A 25596-nucleotide genomic window follows, 5' to 3' on the forward strand; every position below is an offset into this window, starting at 1 on the left:
AAAGTAGCATTATTCAACCCAAGACTTAGGACCGAAATGGGAGCGAATGATAGTGACATCAGTGTGGAAGAACTTCGATGTTTACACTGAATAAAAGTGTAGAATTGTCCAAAGTCAATTATTTGAGCTTACTTTTTTTTCGTATGTGTATATCCACATTTTGTCTCAGCAAGGAAATAAAGATGTTTTAAATAAAATTATAAAATAGACACTTCCTAGAAAACTATATTGCTGGAAAAACATATACAAGCTCAATATTTTATTTTAAAAAACAAGGAAATTAGACTGGGTGTGGTGGCTTGCGCCTATAATCCCTGCATTTGAAAGGCTGAGGTGGGAGGATCATTTGAGCCCAGAAGTTGAAGACCAGCCTGGGCAACATGGCGAAACCCTGTCTCTACCAAAGAAAAAAATTACAAAAATTAGTCAGGTGTGGTGGTGTGCTCCTGTAGTCCCAGCTACTCTGGAGGCTGAGGTGGGAGGATTGCTTCAGCTTGGAAGGCTGAGGCTGCAGTTAACCTCAATGGTACTACCACACACCAGCCTGGGCAACAGAGTAAGACTCTGTAACCGCTAAAAAAAAAAGAGGAACTTACTTTTGCCCTATCTGTGTGCCTGCCCCCTCCCACAAAACATAGATATGGAAAGAAAAAAGGCTGTTTGTCTTTAAAAATATTTTAAAAACTCATTTCATTTGGCTACTTAGAGGTTATTTTCATTGAACAGACTGTTAGACATTGAACAATAGATTGTTAAAAAGTAAATGTGCTTGCTTTCTTAATATTTAACTTAATAAGTGGTGAGTAACCAAAAATTCTCAGTGCCCGCCCTTTTTTGACGATAGTCAGACACGGCAGTAGGTGAGCCCACATACAAAAGCCTTAATTAGATACCAATTCACTAGCCAATCCTGCCAGAGCATGCTCCTGCTTTACTAAGAGAAATAGTTTCATGCCAAGAGGCATGGAAGATGTAAGATACTAGTTTTTTAAGCAATCTTTATATTTTTTATATAATAACTTTACAAAGTATTTATTTAAGGTCCCATGTGATTTCAGCAACACAAAAATGCATATTCCTGTCTTCTTGTTCTCTTTCTTTTTTTTTTTTTTTTTTTTTTTGAGACAGAGTCTTGCTCAGTCACCTAGGCTAAAGGGCAGTGTTATGATCCTAGCTCACTGCAGCATCGACCTTCCGGGCTCAAATGATCCTCCCACCTCCGCCTCCCAAGTAGCTGAGATAGAGGCAGGAGCCACTGTGCCTGGCTGTCTCTCTTATTTTCTAATGGCCCTGTCTAACAAATAAAATGACTCCAAATGATCATAAACTGATCAGAAAAGCTGTGTCAAAATAGTCACTCTTAGGGCCACTTAGTTAGAAAGAATGTAAACAGGCAAAGGTTTGCTTCTTCAGCAGATAATTTAATTAACAGTTTATACAATGGCTAAAACACAGTACTCCCCAAACAGCAGAGATCTAGTCATCTTATCCTTTCTCTTCTTCACCCTAAAAAAAAATGACAATTTGTCTTTCCTTTTGATATGAAACCATGGGAAATAGACAAGCATATGACTATTTTACCAACACAAAGAGTCCACTCTGAAAACTTAGGCTGCATTCAAATGAGACCCTAACCCACTGCTTTGTAGAAATCAGAATTGGAAAACTGTAAAAAGTTGTCACATATTTTTTAGAAAATGGAATACTTGTTGACCTCACGCCTACACTTTCCAATTCATAGGTCAAGAGAAAGTACTAACAATCCAATGTACGTACTGATTTTTAAAAATCAATTATTTTTATTTTTTTAATGTGAAATGAACCTATATCTACATGCGAGTCACACAGTTTCATTCCCCGATTCACACCATTACTTTCTCTCTAATCTAAGTATTAATAAAACTCTGGGTCTGTAAACAACCCTCTCTTAAGAGAATCTGTCCATCAATCCTGGCTCATCAAACTTTCTGAGTTACAGTATTAATCTTCTCTCTCCTTCACAAACTTCGCTGGAGCTCCACGTGTAAAGAATGAGGTCTTAGCTCTGTGCGGTGACTCACGTTTGTAGTCTCAGCACTTTGGGAGGGAGAGTTGGGTGGACTGTTTGAGCCCAGGAGTTCAAGACAAGCCTGAAGAACATAGGGAGACCCCATCTCTACATAAAATACAAAAATTAGCCAGGCATGGTGGCACATGCCTGTTGTCTCAGCTACTTGAGGGGCTGAAGTGGAAGGACCTACTTGAGCCAGAGGTGGAGGCTGCAGTGAGCTGTGACCACACTACTGCATTCCAACGTGAGCAACAGGGCAAGACCCTGTCTAAAAAAAAAAAAAAAAAAAAATAGGTCTAAACACCCTGGCAAGGTTTTCAAGGCTCTCCACTTGGCATCCAACCTAATTGTTCAGCTCCCTGTACCCAAGCACTCTAGCCAAAGTAAATTTGGTGCTCATCTCCACACACACTGCACTTCAGTGAATTATCTGGCCTGAAATGCTGAAGATGAAATTTCACTCATCCTTCAAGATCCCAACTAAATGCCACCTCCTCCATGCAGTCTTCCCATTTACCTCTCAACAGTTCTATATCAATGGGTCACTTTACTGAGTGCTTAATACGCATAAGGCCCTGTCTAAGCGCTAGTGCATATTAGTTCATTTACACCTCACATTGATCCTAAAATGTGGATTACTAATATCTCTGAGATAAACACATGAGGAAACAGATAGAGAAGTAACCACCTCTCCTTAAAAATGAGCTTTCTGAGGCCAAGCGAGGTGGCTCACACCTGTAACCCCAGCATTCTGGGAGGCCTAGGTGGGAGTATCATTTGAGGCCAGGAGTTCAAGACCACTCTGGGCAATAATTGCGAGACTTCATCTCTACAAAAAATATAAAAAGAAAAAAGAGCTTTCTGCCTGTATTCGCAGCTACTCAGGAGGCTGAGGTGGGAGGATTGCTTGGGCCCAGGACTTCAAGACCAGCCTGGGCAATACAGTGAGACTCTATCTAAAAAAAAAAAAAACTTATAAAAAAATTTTTAAAAATGAGATTTCTACATTCAAATGCCATAGTGAGAGAAGGAACAATTACTTACAAAAATGCAAGGTTCTTCCTGCAAGACAGGTTCTTCCCTTTAAAAATACTGTATGTAACAGCTTGGGCATGGTGGCTCACGCCTGTAATACCAGCACTTTAGGAGGCCAAGGAAGGCAGATCATCTGAGCTCAGGAGTTCGAGACCAGCCTGGCCAACACGGTGAAACCCCGTCCCTACTAAAAATACAAAAATTAGCCAGGCGTGGTGGCGGGTGCCTGTAGTCCCAGCTACGCAGGAGGCTGAGGCAGGAGAATGGCGTGAACCGGGGAGGCGGAGGTGGCAGTGAGCTGAGATTGGGTCACTGCACTCCAACCTGGATGACAGAAAGAGACTCCGTCGCAAAAAAAAAAAAAAATATATATATATATAAAATGTATATTATGTAACAAATACATATAATATATTATGTAACAATGAACAAAATCTAAAATATTACTGAAAACCGCATATATATTATATTACTTTGGACACGTTTATCTACCCCATGCTTGTTTTGGGGGGCCTCTAACACAGCTCTGAATGTGTGATTTTCCCTTCAATGTATGTGGGTGGTGATGTGAAAATTACGAGGATGATTTTTTTAAAAAACATTCCCCACTGAACAAAAATGCCACTAGAAACTAAAAATACAATGGAAATACAATGAAACTTTTATACCTGGGTTTTCTCTAAGCAAACAACAGACAAATGCCGTAAGGAGGAAACAGGAAATTTTTATTGGAAACAGCTTTAGTCAAAGTCATTTCACAAAGCAGTTCTGGACATTAGATGGATGAGTCCCGGACACCCTTTTGTGTATGGCTGGGAACCATTAGGCCATATTTGCACATTTCCTGGCATGACGGGATGATCCTGTCTTCCCATCACTCCTCAACAGTAAGCTGAACAAAAACTCCCCACCCCCAGCATCATTCTGTGGAACTCTGTTATCTTAGCTGGTTGAGCAACAGTAATTGGGTCTAAACAAGATATGATTACTTCAATCTACCATTCGCTCTAGCTTCACAGGGGGAACTTTTGGATTTCCTCTCTTCTGTGATAATATGCCACCAAAATCAGGCTTCGATGCAAATGGTACAGTGAATTTTTTTTAAAAATGCAATTTTAAGAAATTAAAGGAATGTAAGAAAATTCAAGCACTTTGCAGATTCCCTGGATTCCCTAAAATTTGATAGACATATGGGCAAAGATTCATGGAAAAGTTGATGCTTTTATTGCTAGAGAACCGTGTCAGCTGTGTGCAGGCAGGTGGTGCTTTTTGATCCAAACCAAGATGCATTCTCCTCCCCGTGGTGACAAAGATTCCTTCAAATGGGAAGGAAGATACTGCTTATCAATTCTGATGACATCAAGGTGACCAATTTGGCAGGAATGTTGTGCAGGTGGATACGATGGTTTTAATTACAACCCATCTTTACCTGATGGGTGGGTTCCAGAGGGCGTTCACTGGGAGAAGCAAATCACGACCACAAATACTTGTAGTAAGGTAAGGAAATCTTGGTGACTCCCAGCCCTGGATGTAGGCAGGCATTGCGCTGGGGAGTTTTCTTTTCTTTTCTTTTTTGAGACAGGGTTTTACTCTGTCACCTAGGCTGGAGTCTAGTGGCATGATCACAGCTCTCTGTAGCCTTGAACTCTTGGGCTCAAGAAACCCTCCTGCCTCAGCCTCCTGAGTAGCTGGGACTACAGGTGTGTACCACCATGCCTGGCTAAGTTTTTATACTATTTTTTATAGAGACAGAGTCTCGCTATGTTGCCCAGGCTGATCTCAAACTCCTGGGCTCAGGCAATCCTCCTGCCTCGGCCTCCCAAAGTGCTGGGATTACAGGCGTGAACCACCCGTGCCTGGCCAGGGAGCTTTTTAAAAACACCGACCATCCCCTCCCCAGGTATTCTGATTCACTCAGTCTAGGTAGGGCCTGGACATTGTATTTCAGAAAAGCTCCCTCAGTTTAAAGGCAGCCAGGATTGAGGACCACTAAGCCAGATAACATTTCTTTGTATTCCTTCGTCCTGGACTTTTTCACCCTTGGATTATCCTAACAGCCTCCTCACGGAACTCTGATAAGCCTCACCCCTCCCTGCCCCCAACAAATCCGTCCTCCTTCAAGGATCCCCGAGCCACTGGGCTGGTTTTATGAAACACATATTTCATTATGTCACTCCCCTGCTTAGAATTCTTTAGTGACTTTCCACCGCCTTTCAAATACAATCCAAACTCCTCAGCAAAGACCACAGCCTTCACAGTTTGGCATCTGCCTATCCACTCAACTCTTGGAAGGCCTCCAAATGTAAGCTTGCTCCAGGCTTTCCAAACTCCTTGGAGTTCTGAGGACGTACCAAGCTCTCATACCTTAAGCCCTGAGTTCTCTCAAATGAATTACCCCTTCTTCACTCCACCAACTTCTCACTTTTTAATTCATTTGTATATCCCGAAAGACAACTTTTTGCACAAAGGAATTACAGAGAGGTTGGTGTGAAGAAGGAAAAGAAAAAAAAAAATCTATTACTATTTTCCTTTCTTTAAAGGCAGACTGAAAACGATGACTTGAATCTCTTACTCTTTGCAATTAAAAAACAACCAACTGTTAAACATACGCAGTTGCCAAAGACTGGTTATCAGGAGTTATCTATGTAAAATAAATTCCTAGTAAGGTTAAGACAGACAGCAGACTTCATATATTAATATTTATTAAACTCTAATGTTATCTAATCACAGTAAAGATTTTCACCAGCAACTGACAGCATTCCTGCCCTCAGGTGCCTAAAAAAATTCCAAACATCTGCTATGCATAGTCTGAAAAAAAAAAAAAAAACAAGAAGCTTCTGGGAGACTGGTCAGTCACTAAGTCAGTTTCTTAGGCTATCTGGCTTAACAATAGCTAACTCAAATCTACTGTTAGGTATATTTTAGTACAGTCCTATGTTTAGCTAAAGCTAATCATCCTACATTTTCCCTTTCACTATTTATTGATCCAACTAGGCGTACTGCCAGCAGCTCTCAGGGAAAATCAAAGACACAAGCTCCTGACTTGAAGCAGGAAGCCAAGTGGAAAGGAAATTCACAGTGGAGTACAGCGCGTATGAGGACCCTCTATCCTCCACTTAGAAACGAACTGGTTTCCTAAGGGCTATTGCAAGGTCCACGTGTTTGTTAAGCCCGAAGTGACCCTGTACACGTCACGTTAGTGAGTGCCCCTTTCATTGGTGAAAGCCAAACTCCTAACAATGTCCCACATGTCCTGGCCCCTGTCAGGACCCTGCCTGCCTCTGACTGATCCAGCCACACCGGCCTCCTCTCATGCCCTGTCCCCCTGCTCCCTGCACCCCCCGCCCCCGCACCTTTTTGGTTGTTGACAAGGAGTCTCAACTCTGTCTCCCAGGCCGGAATGCAGTGGCACAATCTTGGCTCACTGCAACCTCTGTCTCCCAGGTTCAAGCGATTCTCCTGCCTCAGCCTCCTGAGTAGCTGGGGCTACAGGCGCCCGCCACCACAATGAGCTAATTTTTTTTTTTTTTTTTTTAAGTAAACACATGGTTTCACCGTGGTGGTCAGGCTGGTTTCGAATTCCTGACCTCAAGTGATCTGCCTGCCTCGGCCTCCCTCCCAAAGTGTGGGATGACTGGCGTGGGCCGTGGCACCTGGGCCCTCTCTCCCTCTTTTCCTGTTTTATTTTTTCTTCTTCCACAAAACTTATTATGTTTACTTTCTGTCTTTCCTCTTTGTAAGCTCCAAAAGGGCAAGCTTCTTTGTCCATTTTATTCTGTGATATATCCCAAGCACCTACAACAGCACACAGTAGTTGCTCAATAAATATTACATAAAGAAATAAACCACTCATACAATTTTTGTTCTAGTAAGTGGTCTTAATTTTTCTGACCAGGATCCCCAATAGGAAATACATTCTACATTGTAACATGGTACACACATATACATGTATGTACATGTATATATGTGTGTATAAATATAAGTACACATTCATGCATATAAACACGTGTCTGTATATGTAACTATTATAAAAGAAGTTTCAAATAAAACCTACAATAAGTGATACAGTCTTATATTTTTATATATTTTTAAATGCTGTGTTATATACCAATGTGACCAATTTGAAATGCACTATTCTCATGCATAGTTTTTCTTCTAAGCATGAAGAACTTGTGTACAGTAGGAAGAGGAATGTGATATGACATAGGAAAGACATGTGTGACATCAGAGTGGGAGGGGTGTCCCTTCTCGCTAGTGGACAAGTGGGGTCTGCCTGGGCCCAGTCTGTACTCCTTTATTTAAGGAAGCATTATGATCTTGGATATGAAACTGGATTGCAGGAGAGGGGATTCGGTGTAAAGGACCCTGAATGAAGTAAGAGGTAAGCTGGGAAGCAGAAGTGTTGGGAGGAATGCAGTCTGGATTTACTACAATACAGACCAAAAAGCAGGAGTATGAAGCAGAAAGGAAGTTATCTCATGGATCAGATGGAAGCACCTTCTGAGCCTGGTTATACAATGAGCAACCAACATTATTTCCTCAGATGTAAAACAGCTTTGCACCTGGGTGCCCTGGAGTCCTTCTGATACTCTATCACAGAGGACAAAGCATTACTGTAACAAGTCAGGAAAACAACTCCAGGAAAGAATCCACTGCCTAGATAGGTGGCCTTAAGAAAAGAATTTCTCTGGCCCTGTTGCTTCATCTATAAAACCTGCGCTTGCCAGTGGCTTTGTAAATTCCCTAAGTTTTTGACTCTAATATTTCCTTTATGCCCATTTCACCTTCTCTCTAAGACCACCTCTAGAAAGGGTTCCATGCCCGCTGTTAATTTTCCAGATGTCTTATCAATTACATGGAAACATTCTTCTTCCCTCAAAAAACTGGACCACTAGAAACTGCTACAAGAGATCCCCAGTTTTGTAAATTTACGAAAGTTTTAATTACTTTTATTTTAAAAGCTAACATTTCCAATTTGCCTTTCTTTTTTCCTTTTTTTTTTTGAGACAGAGTCTCACTGTGTCACCCACGCTGGAGTGCAGTAGCACAATCTCAACTCACAGCAACCTCTGCCTCCTGGGTTCAAGCCATTCTCCTTCCTCACCCTTCCAAGTAGCTGGGATTACAGGTGCTCACGACCACACCCGGGTAATTTTCGTATTTTTAGTAGAGACGGGGTTTCGCCATGTTGGCCAGGCTGGTCTCAAACTCCTGACCTCAAGTGAGCCATCCGCCTTGGCCTCCCAAAGTGCTGGGATTACAGGCATGAGCCACCAAACCTGGCCTAATTTGCTTTTTAAGAGATCGACTTCTTGATTTGTCCCATGAAGCCTGTATTCATATCATAGACAACACAAAACCAATGACGTTTGCTTCTGTGCGTGTCTATAGCCCTCTAAATTTCAACTTGAGAGGAAGAAAACACTTCAATGCATAGAAGGCTCTTAAGAGTTTTACTTTCCTTATTGATCTTTCATGTTTACAGCAGCATGTTGTCTTCCAAAGAATCCGTGACTTGGGCGCTGAAATACCTCTTGAAGCTTTTCATCTTTTCTCTTTACAAATGAGGAAGCTGGTACAGAATTGAGGTGATTTGCTGAAGGGGCTAAAGCTACCCAGCTCTCATCCCCAGGTTAGGCCCTTCTTGCCTATTTCAACAGTGCCCTCACTTGTAAATCACCATACTGGTTTTCAGTCCTAGTAAGGAATGGAAGCTTTGGGGAGCTTCCTTTTTAAGTTTTGTTCATTTTTTTTTCTCTTATTCTTCTGCTTGAGATTTGGAGACATACATATACAGCTTTCTATTAAAGAACATTCCTAGAAATTATAGAAAGGAGGGGAAAAAGGACCCATTTTCCCTGTGATGTGATGACAACTTAATAAATGGTTTTGCCTTGAAAGGAGGAAACACTGGGAGACAGGCCCTGCAAGCCTATACCTGGGGTGAAGCCCTGCAAGTGACACTTTAGCCATGTAGAATTTAAACCAATTGAAATCCTCTTTGGGGATCATCTAGTACAAGAGTTTGCAAAGTACTCCTTTTAACACATAAACCAGGAAAAGGCAAGCAGCTCACATCAAAATATGTGCTCTTCCCTGGCAAAGGCAACAGCTCTGGATGAATTTGAGCCCATGAGGGACATGGCTCCATCAGGCCCTCTAGGCTTGTGCGGATCCAGTTATTTCCAGGAACAGAAAATATCTCCCAAATAATCAAAAATTGGCACTTATTACCCAGCAAAAAGAGGTCAAACTGAAATCAAAATAAACTAAGAAGGAAATGGATACTGAATCATCACATCTTTCTGTTTCATTTCAACCTGGGGCAGGATAAAAATAAATCGCTGCTACAGGGACACACATATCTCTCTATCCATACACACACACACACACACACACACACACACACGTGTACGTATTTCTAGTATTCCACGTCAAATATTTATGCAGTTCAAACTATGCACTAACAACAGTAATTTGGAATAGCTCATAAAGTACGAAGTCCTTTGAAGATGATAACTGCATAGATTAAGAATTTCAAGAAAGAAAAGTATCTAATTAATACAGTTTTAAAGGTCCTTATTTTTCTGAGTCTCATTTTTTTTTGGTAAAATGAAGCACGTGTTTTAAGATTATATAATCCATTCCCTCTTTAAACTTATTATTCAAGGCAAAATATCTGGTTACAAACCTAGAGTAACCCTGTCTCTATTATTAAAAGTTGGCATACAAATAAACTCTTTCTTTTACATATGTTAGCAAAGCTTATTCTACGAGGGGCATCTCCCGCAACATTGGCTTTTGCTTTATAGTTCTGCGATAGCACAGGAGAAAATAAAATAGTGTGCAAATTGCAACACTGTAAAACCTTAAATTAGAAATAAAGGTGATAGCAGGAACGTCTATTAAAAAAACTGCTCACCCATATTTTCGTCCATTCTAACAGAAAAAAGAAAATGAATGAAATATCAAGTTCCCTTATCAAAGACCAATGACAATGAAAATATGGCAGGTACTTGTTAGGAGTATAAGCCACCTCCAGCCATTTCTATGTCAAACCTCAAAGAGGAAACACTATTCAACTAGACGTTCTCAGTTTTGTGCCAAAAAGTGTGAGAAAAAAGTAAGATTTGCTGTGTTCTAGGTGAGCTAAGGAATTATTTTCACCAGTATTGCTTGGGACACCCAGCCCCCTAAATGAACACTAATGAATGAACAGAAATTAATCTAATGGTCAAATTGTGATTCAGGTTCCTACAAACAACTTAAGACCTTCATTTTGTTTAGACATGTTGACTGGAAGGGGTCTGAGGTTCCAGTCAACTCACATGTGATCTTGGACTGGTCACTGAACCTCTCTGCATCTCAGCCGCCCCTCAGTCGGGAAAAGGCACTGGTTTTCCAGGCTGCCTTTGCCAAGTTCTGGAACTTCCCATGAAAATGACTTTTACAGATGTCCAAGCATTACATAAAATGCCCTTTCTGTGCTATACAATTTGAAAAAGAGAACTGTATGGAGATTGGATCCCTTATGAGTTTATGGTTTCTCCAGAATCAGGAGGTAAAAATCACTTCAGTTTCAGCATCTTCTATTTTGTCACTTGAGTGTGAGGAGGGACACAGCGTGGCTGTGGGGCAGCACCGTGCATGGGCCACAGGCCATTTCACTTCTGAAGTCTCTTCTTCCGTGGCTTCCTAAAGTGCTGCCAGCCTGGGAAATGCTACCACCCCAGGGTGTGGAAAACTTTTGTCCCTTAAACATCCTTTAGAGACTCCTGCGAGGAGAAGGAAGGCGCCTTTCTGACAAGCTTCAGGAAGTGACCTCCAGTCCTCTCCACAGGACACTCAAAGGTGGGGCAGGGCAGAGAACAAAATGTGGATGGGAGGTGCCAAAGGCATCTGAGGACTCAGCTTCACTGACCTCAGCCTTCAATGAGCTTTTGATTTTTCCCCGACGGGGGAAGGGGTAGACACCAAAAGGCACCAAGTAGAGAAATGTATAAAATGAAAATAAGCACACTTTTCACGAGGAAAGTAAGTCTAGTAGAACAAAAAAAAAAACCCCAAAAAAACAACAACCAAAAAACCCCAAGGCTGATGAATGATTAAGAGAAACTGATTTCCACTGTGTCTTGGCTTCACTTTAGAAGGATGTAATAGTTCACTTTTTGGTGCTCAAAACTTTATTTCCTTATAGGCAGGCATTCACATATTTTCAGTCACATTTGGGAGAAAAGTTTCCTTTAGAAATAATATTTGAAAGTACTTTCACTGAAGAAAACATTATTTCGTACAGTCAACGCGGGCCAGAGTTTTAGAAAATGGTATCCCAGAACACTCCCCCAAATGTTAAAGACAGAGCCCCAAGTCTCCTCTCACTAGACTCCCCCCATGGAGGGGACTCACAAAAAATTTGTCATTCCTGCACTCTAACATTACAGCTGCCTACCTACGCACACAAGCCTCCCAGGAAATTACAAAGTAACTATAAGGCTCCGTAAGGGCCACAATAGAGAAGTCTCGTTGCTGCCTGGGAGACACTAAGAAAACATATGGGCTTGCTGGACGCGGTGGCTCACGCCTGTAATCCCAGCACTTTGGGAGGCCGAGGCGGGCGGATCACGAGGTCAGGAGATCCAGACCATCCTGGCTAACACGATGAAACCCTGTTTCTACTAAAAATACCAAAAAATTAGCTGGGCATTGTGGCGGCGCCTACTGTAGTCCCAGCTACTCGGGAGGCTGGGGCAGGAGAATGGCGTGAACCCGGGAGGCGGAGCTTGCAGTGAGCCAAGATTGCGCCACTGCACTCCAGCCTGGGCGACAGAGAGAGACTCCGTCTCAAAAAAAAAAAAGAGAAAAAAGAAAATATATAAGCTTAATGTGAAGGCTTTCTTCCTGTTCTCCATTAATTATGATGGCAAGGCAGAACATTAATTATGATGGCAAGTGAACAAAACGTTAAGACAGAGTAGACCTAATTAGAGGATCCCCAGGAGGACTCCGCAGTTCTTATCACTGATCATGGTAATCCCTAATAACACAAGGTCCCACAGAAGGAAAAGGGCCAGAGGACAGAAGGAGCCCTTCTCAGCTGGGAATCTAAACCCTTTTACATTAACTGGATCTCTAACTAATTTGAAGCTGAAAGAAAACACCGCTGATGGCGCTCATTCAACGCAGTAACTCATTCCTATAAAACATACTTCAACCCTACAGCACTGTCTTCCTTCAAAGAGGAACAGCCTTCACCTCCCTCTGCATTCATCCATATGCAAAGGCCACAGAGTCAGAAATAGAGACAGTTGTGAAAGTGCTCCAGAAAAGCATGTTCCTTCTAATTTCATAGCCATGGAAAAGAGGATCTTGGAATTGTGCTTTCTAGGACACACTGGATATTTACACTCTATGGTTGGGCATTAGTTCACCCAGACTGCAACATGAAGGAACGTATTTTTTAGTGTCTTGAATGACGTACAGATTACTCCTTTGCATTAGAGCCCCACAGCTCCAAACTAAGAATTTCAGGAGCAGATCCTGATAAAATGAGCATTCTGAGAAAAGTCAGAGATACAACTGTCTAGACACTAAAGAAATTAGTTCTCTCCCACTAGATCCCAACTCATGTAATTCAAATCATTGGACTGTGCACACATTACAAATGAAAATCACCTTTCTCCCCAGGTCTGCTTTATAATCTCAAGAACAGGCTTGGCATGATGTGGGTCTGGATGCGAGTCACACCATGGGGCCAGGTTTTGCTATGATGTTGTAAAGCACTGAGAATTCGGTCTTTAATGATTTGGCAATAGCCAGGGAGGAAGGGGAAACATCTGAAGTTATTTTTACTTTTGTAAAAGTCTTCTGGCTATACAGGGTGAATGGTAGGGTGGATCAGGTATTGTCTGGAGTCTTTCAGGGTCTTTTATTTTTGCATGGCCTCATTTCCGTCTTCCTGTTGCTAGGAAGGAGAGTGAAGCATGAGAAACTTGTGTTGACAATACTGGACCATCCTGTCCAGCACAAGGCTCTCTTCCAAAAAGTCCGATCCATTTCACCCACTGTACTCTGGATGCCCCCACTCTTCTGGACCAAATCACCCTTCCCTGAATATTTTCCAATTGCATATTTACCCGCTTAAGTCATAAAAATACCACTCTGATTTAAACATTGCGTCATGGCTTAAAATCTCCATGGGGACACCAAGGGAAACCCAAGTACTTATTGCTGTATTTGAAACCACCTCTTGGAATCTCACCAAGCCTCTGATTGGAAGGCATCTCAACTGTGGCCTCCCATATCCCCTTTAAGTCCCATAATAGTTCTACAAATAAGAGTTTAAGTACTATATACATTTTTAAACTCACTTCACAGTAATAGCTTGTTGAATCACAACATGTCTTTCTACTGGTCTGGTATATTTTCCAGAAGCACCCAAACACCTCTTTTAATGTAGAAATGCTCTAAACTTTGCTTAGTCTTTGCTCTCTCAACTACAGTACAGAACAACAAAAAAACATGCAAACAAGGGCTTTAGGTTGAAGGGTAACCTGCCTTTCACCTTTACTCCAGAGCCCTAAGAAAATCCTTCAATCTTTCCAGTGCATTAAAATTTGAAACACTGCCTTCATAGTTAGCAATAGTTAATTGCTCATCTATTCACTGTTTAAGGAATGAGTGGTGTTTCTCATGAAATCTGCAATTGGGAAGTTATGACATAAGTCACCAAAACCACTTTTCTCACCCACTCCAGGGAAAGATTTAAGTTGGAAACTATTTATCCCCAGTCCCCTTTTTGAACTTCCAGGCTGTTTGGTGTCTGGTGCTACTCTGTGTAAATTAAAATAAAATAAGTATTTGTCAAAAGCAAACTTTTCAAAACAGCCAGGAGAGAAACTCAGTCTGCTGTGCTTCATTTTAAACTCTGAACAGTAGTACTAATGCAAAAAGTATGCATCTGCGCTCAGGCCACGCTGTAAATCTGGCATGCCACAAGAAATGTGAATACATGCAATCGCCAACATTTTCTCAGAAAATGTCTCAAAATAACTTTTGTGCACACATCTGCTAACCATTTGACACTGGTTCCCCAGGACTTTAGTTCTTCGATTAGAGGGGCTGCTGCCTTACAGGGCACCCCTCTGACCATCTGCTGCCGTCTGCAAGCCAAGATGGCAACTCCATTAATTCCACACTTACAGTCTGCAAATTATTTCCACCGAGGACCAGTCTGTAGTCCAGATGGATGGCGAATTAGTCAACCTCTTGGAGCTGCTGATAGATTTACATTCAGAGGGCTGCAGTCTGCTGGACTATTATTTTCCCTCATCCCTTCAGCAAACAGAATTTTGGAGGAAAAAAAAAATGTAATCTGAGACTCAGTATTCTGCCTTCTCCCGAGCTGCAATGTTTTTTCCAAATACATCATCAATGCCACCAGCCTAGGCTGCATTCCTCTATGTCACCAGTAATCGCCGAAACAACCTCTGAATCCTGAGAATGAATCCATTTGCTCATCCATATTGGGTGTAAAAAGACTCACTCAAAACAAGACTGGGGATGGGAAAAGGTGGGGAGTGGGACGAAGCTTTCTTTAAGTGCAGATTAATGACTGCAAGCAGGGGTTTCCTTCTGCGGTGATTAGCACACACTGGGTATTTATTGAACATCGGGAACAGGCAACCTGCTAATCACTTTACTTGCATGAGCTCATTTGATCCTCACAACCTCCCCGCGCGGAGGTAATACAGTTATCACCCCTTTGGTGCAGATGAAGGAGGCACAGCGAGGTCCTGTCACTGCCCAAGTTCGCCCAGCTAGCAGGCTGCTGACCAGGATGAGACCCCACCAGCCTGACCCCGTGTCCCCTCTCACTTTCCTCGCCCCAGGGGCTGTGCGCTGAAGGACGCTCGCGGACGCAGCAAACTACACGCAGCAGGGTGCTGCAGAGAGGAGGGGTGCACCTCCTTCGGAGGGATCAAAGGCTCGCCCCAGGACTCTGGAGGTGGGGACAGCGACATGGAGTGGGGGCAGGCTTCCAAGAAGCTGTCGCCTTGTTACGAAAATAGTCGGGTCGGGAGGCGAGCTTCCTTCCTCTCTCCGGCCCAGGAACTCGCTCCTCGGCCTCCTTGTCCGGGTCAAGGGGGTGGGCATCCCCAAGGGGGCATTTCAGGGACACGATTCAGCGACCCATCTCCGGGAAAAAAACCAAAACTGTGTGTGTGTGTGTGTGTGTGTGTGTGTGTGTGTGTTTCCTAGCAAGAAGCACGTTTGCAAGCCACGGGGCTTGCTAAACTACCCCAACACTCTCCAGGTACCTGCGGCCACCAAACCGAGACTTCCCTGGCCAGGTCTGAGTTAATTCCCAGCGCTTAAAGTATCTTACCCAAAAATGGTTGAAAAGGAAAACAAGTTTTTGGTGAACTTTCAGGCAGTGATGAAAAAAAAAAATTTCCAAGCGCCACTAGGGTCTAAAATGTTCCCAAACAGTAAACTCTCCCGGAGTTCACTTTGATTTTGGACTAAGCTGGTGAATGACAGGAGATCAGTACGAGCGCAGAGCAGTCCCCAGAGGAAAGGAAGGTAGAAGGCGGTGTCGCCGCGCCCCTCGAGCCAGAGCCGCGAGCCCCCGCCCGGCTCAAGGAGGAAAGTGAACCAGGGCTTCCCTTCACGGGTTGCGACCGATCCGGAGCCCGCCTGGTGCGCTGGCCCGCGGTCCCCAGGCAAAAGGTAATCAAGAGTCACTCCTCCAAAATTCAAACTCCCTCCCCAAACTGCGAGTCCTGCTATCCCCACACCACCTCCAAGAAAATCCGGAGACTCTGCAGAAAGCGTTTAAAGAGCACAGAACAGGCACCGACTTGACAAGGCGGGGTGACACTTTCTCGCGGCGGGTCCCCTCCGCAGCCCGCTCCCGCGGCCAGCCCGACGGCAAGACGCAAGTCTAGCTTACGTGTTAGGATCATGGTGTCCGGCTTCTTTCTGCACATCAAGCACGGCAGGCGGCGGCGGAAGCGCTGTGGGGAAGTCGAGGCAGGCGGAGGCGGCTCGGCTTCCGCGTCGGGACCCACGGCGGCACCCGAGACGCGCGCCCTCGCGGTCCTCAACGCATCCTTGCTCGCCGCTCCCTGCCCCTCGTCACGGCCCCAGAAAGAAAGCGGGGTTTTCTAAAGATCGAAACGAGGGAGCGCTCAGGGAGTTGGGCGAGAAGTCCGTGAGCCGGCGCTCCTGATGCGGAGAGGTGCGGCCATGTCCTGGCTGGGAGCGAAGCGCCCTCGCTCGGGCAGTCGGAGCGAACTGTCTCCCGCGCGCTCCGCCAGCCGGGCCCTCCCGCTGGGCCCACCCCCCGAGGGGCGGGGCCAGAGCGGGCGGCACCGCCTCCTCCCCGCTGTCTGGGTCGCAGGCCTTAGCGACGGGCTGTTCTCCGGCCCCGCCCCATTCCCAGGCTCCGCCCCCCGCCCCTCTTCCTCGTGGCCGCAGCCTCAGGCCGCCCTCTAGCCCCGCCCCGCCCAGGCCCCGCCTCTCCTCTGTCCCGCCCCCTCGGTTCCCTCCTCCCCCCCGCCCCGCCCCGCGCCTCCTCCGCCGAAGGCTGGAATGTTTCCCCCACGGGCCTCCACGTTCCCAGCGGGAAGCGCCGAAAAGTCGCCAACTATTGGCCCCGGGTGCAAAGGCAAAGGTCACAAGGCATTTACTTGGCGGAGGTGTCCGGCCTGGACCCTAGTGTGCCTTGAGCGTCCCTTCTTTTTCTTGGTAGCTCTGCGTACTTTTTACCTGTCTTTTATCCTGGCGGGAACCACGTAAATTTGCGGGAACGGAGGGGAAGCGGAGAGGAAGGGATGGTCAGTGTTTCCAGATCTGTAAAAACGAGCGAAGGGTACCTGTCCCTTGGACATTGGTTATTTATTGCTAAAACCCGCATGGGTACGGAGCCAATGTAGGTGATAAATACTGCCTTAGAGGAATTGAGCTTTCACTCGGCACGTGCTGGGGGTCACAGCCCGTGTTTCTCAAACTGGCCCTTGGGCCACAGTCCGAATGCAGCTCCTGGAACTGCCCTTAGCTGGGGTCTGACTGCATAATTCCAATCTTTGATGATGAGAATCTGCAACTTTTACAAGCTCTCAGATGATTCTGATGGCCTGTAGTTTGAGGACCCCTGATGTATTAGGAAGCCTAATGTGAAGGGATCACAGCTAAATATAGTTGCATTAAGAGCCTTTAAAAAATCCAGAACTGGATTCCATGAAAATTTACTTCGGGGTTAATTGATGTTTTTGCCTGCTATCTCTGGGCAAGGAAGACTACTGAACTAAACTCATTCATTCAACAAATACAGAAAGAGCATTTACTATGTGCCAAACACAGCTGTAGACTGGGAGATACAGAAGTGAGCAAAAGAGACAAATATCCCTTCCCTCCTGGAGGTTACTTTCTCGTGGGAAAAATGCATAACAAACAAAATAAATGAGATATATAGAGTATGTCTGATGGAGATACATAAAGCAGGGAGGTAATATTGGAGCTGGGGAAGGGCACAATTTGTTTTTAAATGGGGCAAATACAAATAGGAGAATTTAGTCTCTTAATTATAGTTTAAAACTTATTGGTTTCATAGCGATATCTTAGTTTACATACAGAAGACTCTTCTCCCATTTCCCTCATAAATTTTGATAAAACAAAAATGCTGGGTGAATGCAGTGGCTCACACCTGTAATCCTAGCGCTTTTGGGAACCGAGGTGGGAGGATTGCTTGATCCCGGGAGCTTGAGACCAGGGTTGGCAATATAGCAAGACTCCATCTGTACAAAAATAAATAAATAAATAAGCTAACTTCCACTACTGGCTCCCTAATTTACCCAAAGCAGAATTCAGCTCTAAAGGGTATGGGACTCCTCCGTTCAACAGATGTTTCCAGGCTTTTTACCTACTGGTAACTGCTGAGGGTGCAAAGGCTACAGCCTGGTGGGAGGAAGCAACAGGGTTGTATGAAAAAGCGGTGCTGTGAGGGCCCAGGAAATGGAGATCTGATCTGGCCCAAGATGATGCAGTTGCCCTCATGAGTGTGGGAGCCGGAGGAGCTGCCCAAGAGCCCACCGTCACCAGCAAGGGGGAGTGTGATTCAACGGGAGGCCAGGAAAGTAAAAGCAAGAAGTTTCAGTCCCCTGCGTGACTATGTTAAGGAAAGTCCTTAGGAGTGATAAACAGTGAGAAGCCTTTTTTTTTTTTTTTTTTGAGACAAAGTCTCGCTGTGTCGCCCAGGCTGGAGTGCAGTGACACGATCTCGGGTTCACGCCATTCTCCTGCCTCAGCCTCCCGAGTAGCTGGGACTACAGGTGCCCGCCACCACACCCAGCTAATTTTTTTGTATTTTTAGTAGAGACAGGGTTTCACTGTGTTAGCCAAGATGGTCTCGATCTCCTGACCTCGTGATCCGCCTACCTCAGCCTCCCAAAGTGCTGGGATAACAGGCGTGAGCCACCGCGCCCGGTCGAGAAGCCATTTTAATGGAAGAACGCATCCCGTGATTGGATTTGCATTTTGAAAAGATCGCTCAGGCTGCAGTGTAATATTCAAACTTAAAAAATAAGAGTGCACCTTCGAAACATACTAATTTATCTTATTTATTAAAAATTCAGACTTTAAAAATATATTCTAAATATCTCCCCTCCAAATACACCAATTCTCAGAATAAGTTCTTAATATTTTTTGTTTGCTGGTTAAAGTTGTATTCTAATTTAATTAGGTTCCCAGGAGTCTTTTTATTCCACTTAGCATTCATCTTTCCAGAGTAAAACAGGCAAAACTTCTCTTCTTATTCAAGCCCCATTCCTCTCTCCTTGATTATGGATGCCACTGTCCCTGGATCTTTTCTAATTTCATTACATGTCTCTGGAGATTATGTTATGTAGTTTGCTCATTGTATAATAATACTAATAATAACTCCAAAATCCTTTCTTTTGGTGATGCATTGGTTTGCGTTTGACCTTCCCTGAATCTCATCTTCTTTCAGTCTTTGGTCTATTGACACAGCCTGTGACAAGGGCCAAGCCCCAATTTGTATAGCTTTAATTCCACTCTTCTTAGAAATGGACATGCTACATTTTGAAAGCTGCTACGCTTAAGAGAATGGTGGTTGAAAGCAGGACTTTTAGAGCAGGCCACTTACTAGGTTTATGATTAATATGTTATTTGTTTATGTTATAATTTAAACTTTTATTTTAGATTCAGGGGGTACATGTGCAGATACATTGCATGATGCTGAGGTTTGGGGTACGATTGGTTCAGTCACCCAGGTACTAATCATAGTACCTAACAGTTTTTCAACTCCTTCTCCCCTTCCTCCCTCTCTCCCCACTCTAGTAGTTCCCAGTGTGTCTTGTTGCCATCTTTATGTCCATGAGTACTCAGTGTTTAGCTCCCACTTATAAGTGAGAACATGGAGTATTTGGTTTCCGGTTCCTGTGTTAATATGGTTAACATAATGGCCTCCAGCTGCATTCATGTTGCTGCAAAGGACATCATTTCATTCTTGTTTTTGAGATCATCTCGCCCTGTTGCCGAGGCTGCAGCACAGTGGTGAAATCTCAGATCACTGCAGCCGAATGTCTGTGCATCCCACTGAGGACAAGAGGATCCCAGGCTCAAGCGATCCTCTCACCTTAGCCTCCCAAGTAGCTGGCACTACAGGTGCGTGCCACCACATCTGGCTAATTTTTGTATTTTTTGTAGAGACAGGGTTTTGCCATGTTGCTCAGGCTGCTCTTGAACTCCTGGGCTCAAGTAGTCCGCCAGTCTTGGCCTCCCAAAGTGTTGGGATTACAGGTGTGAGCCACCACACCTGGTCTATTTCATTCTCTTTTTTCATGGCTGTGTAGTTGAATATGTTATTTAGCTTCTCAAAACTTCAGTTTCATCTTTAAAAAAGAAGGTTGTTATAGTGCATACCTCATGAGGGTTTTACGAGGCTTGAATAAAATAATGTACATAAGTGCTTAACACATAATAACCATTTATTAATGTTAGCCACCATTATTAGAACTAAAACATGAAATCCTATTTAAATCATCATCCAAGAGATGATTAAAACAAAATAAGACCTTGGCATTACCCTTTGTGAATCTGAGGAACCTTTACAAGCGGGGGAAGGAAAGTGAAAAAATCATGAAGAGTGTCAACAAACAGTGGCGCTTTACCTCTTAGGGTCCCCAGGCCCCTCAGTGTCCTTCCTCTTCATTTAACCTTCAACTCATCACTCAAGGTTTCATCTGTCTCTGTCATACGTTAGAAGTTAATGTTAGATAACGTTAGATAATGTTAGAAGGGATTTTTTAGCTGAGCTGCATTCAGTGAGATTTTGGTTTGAGATGCTAAACTAAGAGGCAGGAATTACCTGTTCAATGTAGCCTGTTTCAGTGCCAACAGCTTAGGGTCCTCTGAAAATGTTTCAATACATCAAAATGAAAACCTATCATTTTGTTATATGGGGGTGTTGTTACTTATTTGTTCTCCATGGCAGATTTTTAAAACATGATTTGGCAACAAGACCTGTGCTGTTCACTGCCTGTCATGCTCTTTTGCTCTTTCTTCAGCTTGGACATCAGTTTTTGGTTTTGTTTTTTTTTTTTTTTGAGATGGAGTTTCACTCTTGTCACCCAGACTGGAGTGCAGTGGTGGGTTCTCAGCTCCCTACAACCTCCGCCTCTGGTTTAAAGCAATTCTGCCTCAGCCTCCCACATAGCTGGGACTACAGGCACCTGCCACCACGCCTGGCTACCTTTTATATTTTTAGAAGCAATGGGGTTTCACCACATTGGCCAGACTGGTCTCGAACTCCTGATCTCAGCTGATCTGCCCGCCTCAGCCTCCCAAAGTGCTGGGATTACAGGTGTGAGCCACCGCACCTGGCCAGACATCACTTTCTTGGAGACTGTTCACAGGGGTATCCGTGGCCACTGTATTTGGATGTTTTCCCATTCAACTGTGGTATTAGCATGGAAAGAAAGATTACGTAGTTAACTCCTAAACTGCATGACAGAAGCCTGAGTGACTACTGGCTTTGGTTCCTACTCTATTTTAATAATTGATATTAGTTATTATTGATACTGTCCAAGGATACTCACTTGCATTTTTCCCACTGTAATATGTTAAAAAACACTAAAGCACTGACAGGCACTTAGGCAGGCAATGATAGTGAGTAAAGTTGACCCTAGTGGGATGTTGAGAACTGGGGGGTTCAGGACCCCTCTGAGAAGACAGCCATCATTAGGGCTTAGTGGCTTGTTGACCTGTCTTAACAAGAGCTGAAAGATTTTTTCCAGAACCCCTATAATTTTATATTTGTATATGAAATCTCTCAATTTTTAGATGCTGGCAACTAATTTTAAAAAATGGAAATCCATTCCACTTAATTTTAACTTTGGGCTTTACTTAGCCCTAGGGCAACCAGTTTAAACCTCTGCTCTAGTGATATGAGCCAGGCAATCTCTTTGGAAATTGATTTCTCTCCCTGAGGAAATAACAGACTCCTCTGCACTTGGAAAATGTTATAATTTGTGTTCAATGCAGCATTGCAAAATTACAGGGGGGATAATTTTTATTTGTAATGTTCAAAGGACATACGACAAAGAATAGAATGTTTTGAAAATAATTTTAAATGGTATTCAATTAAGGAAAGTAACTAAGTTAGAAATTGAATGGCTGTCCTTAAAACATTCATTTATTGTTAAGCTTTCGTGACCCCAATCTGGGTTCTCCCCCTACCCCCACTCTCTACCCTACCTGGTATTTAGCCTTTTCAGAATTTGTCAAAACCCAAATGCTGGAGTGTAGGATGAAGAAAGAGGAGAATAATAAGGGGCTTAGGCAGCAAAATTAATTCACCACCATTTAATTTTAACTGGAGTGTGTCTCTTCTTCACTCAGACCTTCTATTGATTACAACTTTTGAATAATGCAAGTTCAAAATATAGGGAAGTTTAATTTAGTTGTCCAGTGATATTTTTAAGAGAGAGAAGCTGGGCACAGTAGTTCATGCCTGTAATCCCAGCATTTTGAGAGGCTAAGGTGGGAAAATCACAAGCCCACGAGTTTGAGACCAGCCTGGGCAACACAAGGAGACCCCATCTCTACACAACATTAAAAATAAAAAAACAATTAGCTGGGCATGCTGCTCGCCTGTGTTCCCAGCTACTTGGGAGGCTGAGGAAGGAGGATTGCTTGAGCCGGGTAGTCGAGGCTGGATTAAGCTGAGAATGTGCCACTGCACTCCAGCCTGGGCCACAGAGTGAGACCCTGTCTCAAAAAAAAAAAAAAAAAAAAAAAAAAAAAAAGGAAAAGAAAAAAAATGAGAGTCTGAGATTCTGTTGTGCCTGGGAAAATGTGATCTAATTTTCAGATAATCTTTTAAACCCCAACTATGAACCAGCCCAGCATAGTACTTTCATCATTCAACAAATATTTACTAAACCCTAGAAAAGTCAGGGTATTGGGCAAAACTAAAATAAACATGAAGAGGGCACTTGGTGGAGACAGCTCTGTTAATAGCGCTCTGTAAGGAGCTCCATGGAGGGCTTGGACGTACTGAATTCTTAGTCCTGATTTGATAAATCAACCAGCATGCTTTCCTGAGATACTTACTATATTGACAGTAGGAATTCCTTTTAAAGGCTATTTTATTTAAAGTCATCAGCTCAAGGCCTCCCTGCCAGAAAATGAACCCAAAAGTTCTGGCTTCCAGCCCCAACATCCATTTGGTCTTTACCAAGGACAGCTCTGATTCTTTCGTGTGTCCCCTGACTACACAAAAATCAAACAAGTGGAAAGTAAAACATTGTGATCACTTTTTATTTCATAAAAGCAACTAGGCTACTTTCCCATTGAATTAGCTAATTTAAATGGCATGGTCAAATATACATAATATAAAATTTACCATTTTAACCATTTTTAAATGTCCAGTCTAGTAGCATTAAGTACAGTGCATTCACGTTATTGTGTGACGATCACCGTTATCCATCTCCAGAACTTTTTCATCATCCCCACCTGAAGCTCAACAATAAACTCCTCTTTCTCCCCTTCCCCCAGCCCCTGGTAACCATTATTTCACTTGCTGTCCCTAGGAATTTGACTATTTTAGGTATGTCCTATAGGCAGAATCATACAACAGTTGCCCCTTTGTGTCTGGCTTATAATGGTTAAATATTTTCTTTCTTTCTTTTTCTTAACAAGTTTATATCTATATCTATATCTATCTATATATTTTTCCAGACACGATCTTGCTCTGTTACCCAGGCTAGAGTGCAGTGGTGTGACCATAACTCACTGCAGCCTCAAACTCCTGGGCTCAAGTGATCCTCCCACCTCAGCCTCTGGAGTAACTAGGAGTACAAATGGGCATCATCATGCCTGGCTAACGTTTGTATTATTTGTAGAGATGGAGTGTCGTCATGTTGCCCAGGCTCTTCTTGAACTCCTGGGCTCAAGCGATTCGCCTGCCTCTGCCTTCCAAAGTGCTGGGATTACAGGTTGAGCCACAGTGCCTGGCCAACTTTTTTTTTTTTCAATGAAGCATTTTTGTCTTTGCTTGTTGATCTGTAAGTATTATGTATATTAGGGATATTAACCATGTGCCATTTCTTATACAAATATTTTTACTAGTATGTCATCTGCCTTTCAAGCTTATTAATTTATGATAAAAATTAACAAGCTTCAAACAAAATTTAAAGGTCTTACTTATTTGTTCTTTTCAATTATTAACTAGGAGTTTACTTAAGTAGTTTTTCCTATAGGGCTTGACCCCAGAAAGGCGAAGACACAAATTTAATTTACAAAACAGGTCATTTACTAGATAGGGTTTTTGGCTTTATTTTTAGTTATACATTTTATTATGTACTCAAAAAATATTCTAGCTGTCTTATTTTTCTCTCTCCCCTAGTATCACATATAGATGCCTTGCTTAGAGTGAGGCCTCTATAAAAGCCTGCTGTGGCTGGGTGCGGTGGCTCACGCCTGTAATCCCAGCACTTTGGGAGGCCGAGGCGTGTGGATCACGTGGGGTCGGGAGTTCGAGACCAGCCTGACCAACATGGAGGAATCCCCATCACTACTAAAAATACAAAATTAGCTGGGCATGGTGGCGCATGCCTGTAATTCCAGCTACTCGGGAAGCTGAGGCAGGAGAATCACTTGAATCTGGGAGGTGGAGTTTGCGGTGAGCCGAGATTGCGCCATTGCACTCCAGCCTGGGTGACACAGTGCAAGAGTCTGTCTCAAAAAAAAAAAAAAAAAAAAAAAAAAAAGCCAGCTGCTAAAAAGCTAGCAGAGATCTAAGGGCACCGAGTTTTTAAGAAATGTTTTGACTTACATTTTCTGTAAGTGCAATATATGTATGTGTGCAGATATATATCCATTAATACTAATAAATCAATCCTGGAAAATCTGTGAGGTTTTCAAGAGCTACGTACAATGCTAAGATGGCTATTTTCAGCCTTTCACCTTGTCAGTAAAAAAGAATGGACTCACTCATGAGTTTATTTCCACTAAGGAGACGTTTTGTGCTCATTTGAACTGTATGTTGCTCTTTCTTTCTGGTGGATTGGTCCTAAAATAAGATGCTATGGGGTGGGTTCGGGCAATTGCCTGGAAAATAAAGCACAGTTCCCTTTCTTCGCTGCTAACTACAGCATGATGGCCATTCTAGAGCTATTTCTGGAAACCCCTACACAGCTCCAGATCATTAACTTACTTTAATAGTCAGCAGGAGAATGGAGCTGCCGTCTATCTTCCAAGATTGGCTTTTCATGTGTAACTAACTCAATTATCTCTTATTGATTCAGTTGAATTAAGCTGGACTTTGGGGGAACTGCAAGGCAACGAATTACACATTTTAAAAAATAGACCTAGCAACAAGGCTTATGATATGGTTAGATTTTGTGTCCCCACCCAAATCTCATCTTGAACTGTAATCCCCAGGTATTTAGGGAGGCACCTACTGGGAAATGATTGGATTACGGGGGTGGTTTCTCCATGCTGTTCTCGTGATAGTGAGTGAATTCTCACGAGATCTGATGGTTTTATAAATGGTAGCTTTTTCCCACACTCATACATACACAGTCGCTCCTGCCGCCTTGTGAAGAAGTTACTTGCTTCTGCTTCAGCTTCCGCCATGATTGTAAGTTTCCTGAGCCTTCCCCAGCGGTGGCGAACTGTGAGTCAATTAAACCACTTTCCTTTATAAATTACCCAGTCTTGGGTATTTCTTTATAGCAGTGTGAAGAACGGACTAATACAACTTACTAGTTGTGAAAGACTAATATTTGAGGATTTATCAGTAGAGAAAGGATTAGATCTGATCTCTATTATACAGATTTTCTGTTCCTGAACAAACAGCTATTTCTCTACTGGTTGTCATCTTTTAGACGGTTAACAAAATAAATATATTAAGGCAAAAACAACACAGAGGATTAGAAAAGTCTGCTAAATTTCATAACCGAGTTCTCCAGATATCTGAATCTCTA

At 43.2% G+C, this 25596-nt stretch overlaps 1 protein-coding gene across 22 annotated transcripts in view, besides 6 other annotated features; it reads right to left on the reverse strand.

The window, feature by feature from the left end:
- The window catches only part of DLC1 (DLC1 Rho GTPase activating protein), a 521260-nt gene that overhangs the window by 33546 nt on the left and 462118 nt on the right, over window positions 1-25596 (reverse strand). For 8 of the 22 annotated variants that reach the window (NM_001348084.2, NM_001413137.1, NM_001413136.1 and 5 more), the window contains exon 1: window positions 16038-16383. The exons of 12 other annotated variants lie outside the window; for them this stretch is intronic. Coding sequence is in view for 6 of the 10 variants with exons in the window: in NM_001413136.1 (NP_001400065.1) it covers window positions 16038-16074 (37 nt within the window). In the remaining 4 variants the exon portion in view is untranslated. Of the gene's footprint in view, window positions 1-16037; window positions 16384-17792; window positions 17884-20277; window positions 20356-25596 lie in introns of those variants that run through there. 2 more of the 22 variants (NM_001413127.1, NM_001413130.1) reach the window with 2 other exon arrangements.
- Window positions 5761-6393: an enhancer, noted in NCBI's record as "OCT4-NANOG-H3K27ac-H3K4me1 hESC enhancer chr8:12980176-12980808 (GRCh37/hg19 assembly coordinates)". NCBI's record gives its function as "activates a minimal SCP1, AML or CMV promoter by ChIP-STARR-seq in primed H9 embryonic stem cells {active_cell/tissue: H9 hESC(primed)}" and the evidence as "EXISTENCE:reporter gene assay evidence [ECO:0000049][PMID:30033119]".
- Window positions 6394-7026: an enhancer, noted in NCBI's record as "H3K27ac-H3K4me1 hESC enhancer chr8:12980809-12981441 (GRCh37/hg19 assembly coordinates)". NCBI's record gives its function as "activates a minimal SCP1, AML or CMV promoter by ChIP-STARR-seq in primed H9 embryonic stem cells {active_cell/tissue: H9 hESC(primed)}" and the evidence as "EXISTENCE:reporter gene assay evidence [ECO:0000049][PMID:30033119]".
- Window positions 7755-8255: an enhancer, noted in NCBI's record as "H3K4me1 hESC enhancer chr8:12982170-12982670 (GRCh37/hg19 assembly coordinates)". NCBI's record gives its function as "activates a minimal SCP1, AML or CMV promoter by ChIP-STARR-seq in naive H9 embryonic stem cells {active_cell/tissue: H9 hESC(naive)}" and the evidence as "EXISTENCE:reporter gene assay evidence [ECO:0000049][PMID:30033119]".
- Window positions 8256-8756: an enhancer, noted in NCBI's record as "H3K4me1 hESC enhancer chr8:12982671-12983171 (GRCh37/hg19 assembly coordinates)". NCBI's record gives its function as "activates a minimal SCP1, AML or CMV promoter by ChIP-STARR-seq in naive H9 embryonic stem cells {active_cell/tissue: H9 hESC(naive)}" and the evidence as "EXISTENCE:reporter gene assay evidence [ECO:0000049][PMID:30033119]".
- Window positions 16283-16512: a silencer, noted in NCBI's record as "silent region_18956". NCBI's record gives its function as "represses an Ori minimal core promoter by ATAC-STARR-seq in GM12878 lymphoblastoid cells {active_cell/tissue: GM12878}" and the evidence as "EXISTENCE:reporter gene assay evidence [ECO:0000049][PMID:35858748]".
- Window positions 16543-16612: a silencer, noted in NCBI's record as "silent region_18957". NCBI's record gives its function as "represses an Ori minimal core promoter by ATAC-STARR-seq in GM12878 lymphoblastoid cells {active_cell/tissue: GM12878}" and the evidence as "EXISTENCE:reporter gene assay evidence [ECO:0000049][PMID:35858748]".

The sequence above is a fragment of the Homo sapiens genome, chromosome 8 (assembly GCF_000001405.40).
Source record: "Homo sapiens chromosome 8, GRCh38.p14 Primary Assembly".
Classification (NCBI taxonomy): domain Eukaryota; kingdom Metazoa; phylum Chordata; class Mammalia; order Primates; family Hominidae; genus Homo; species Homo sapiens.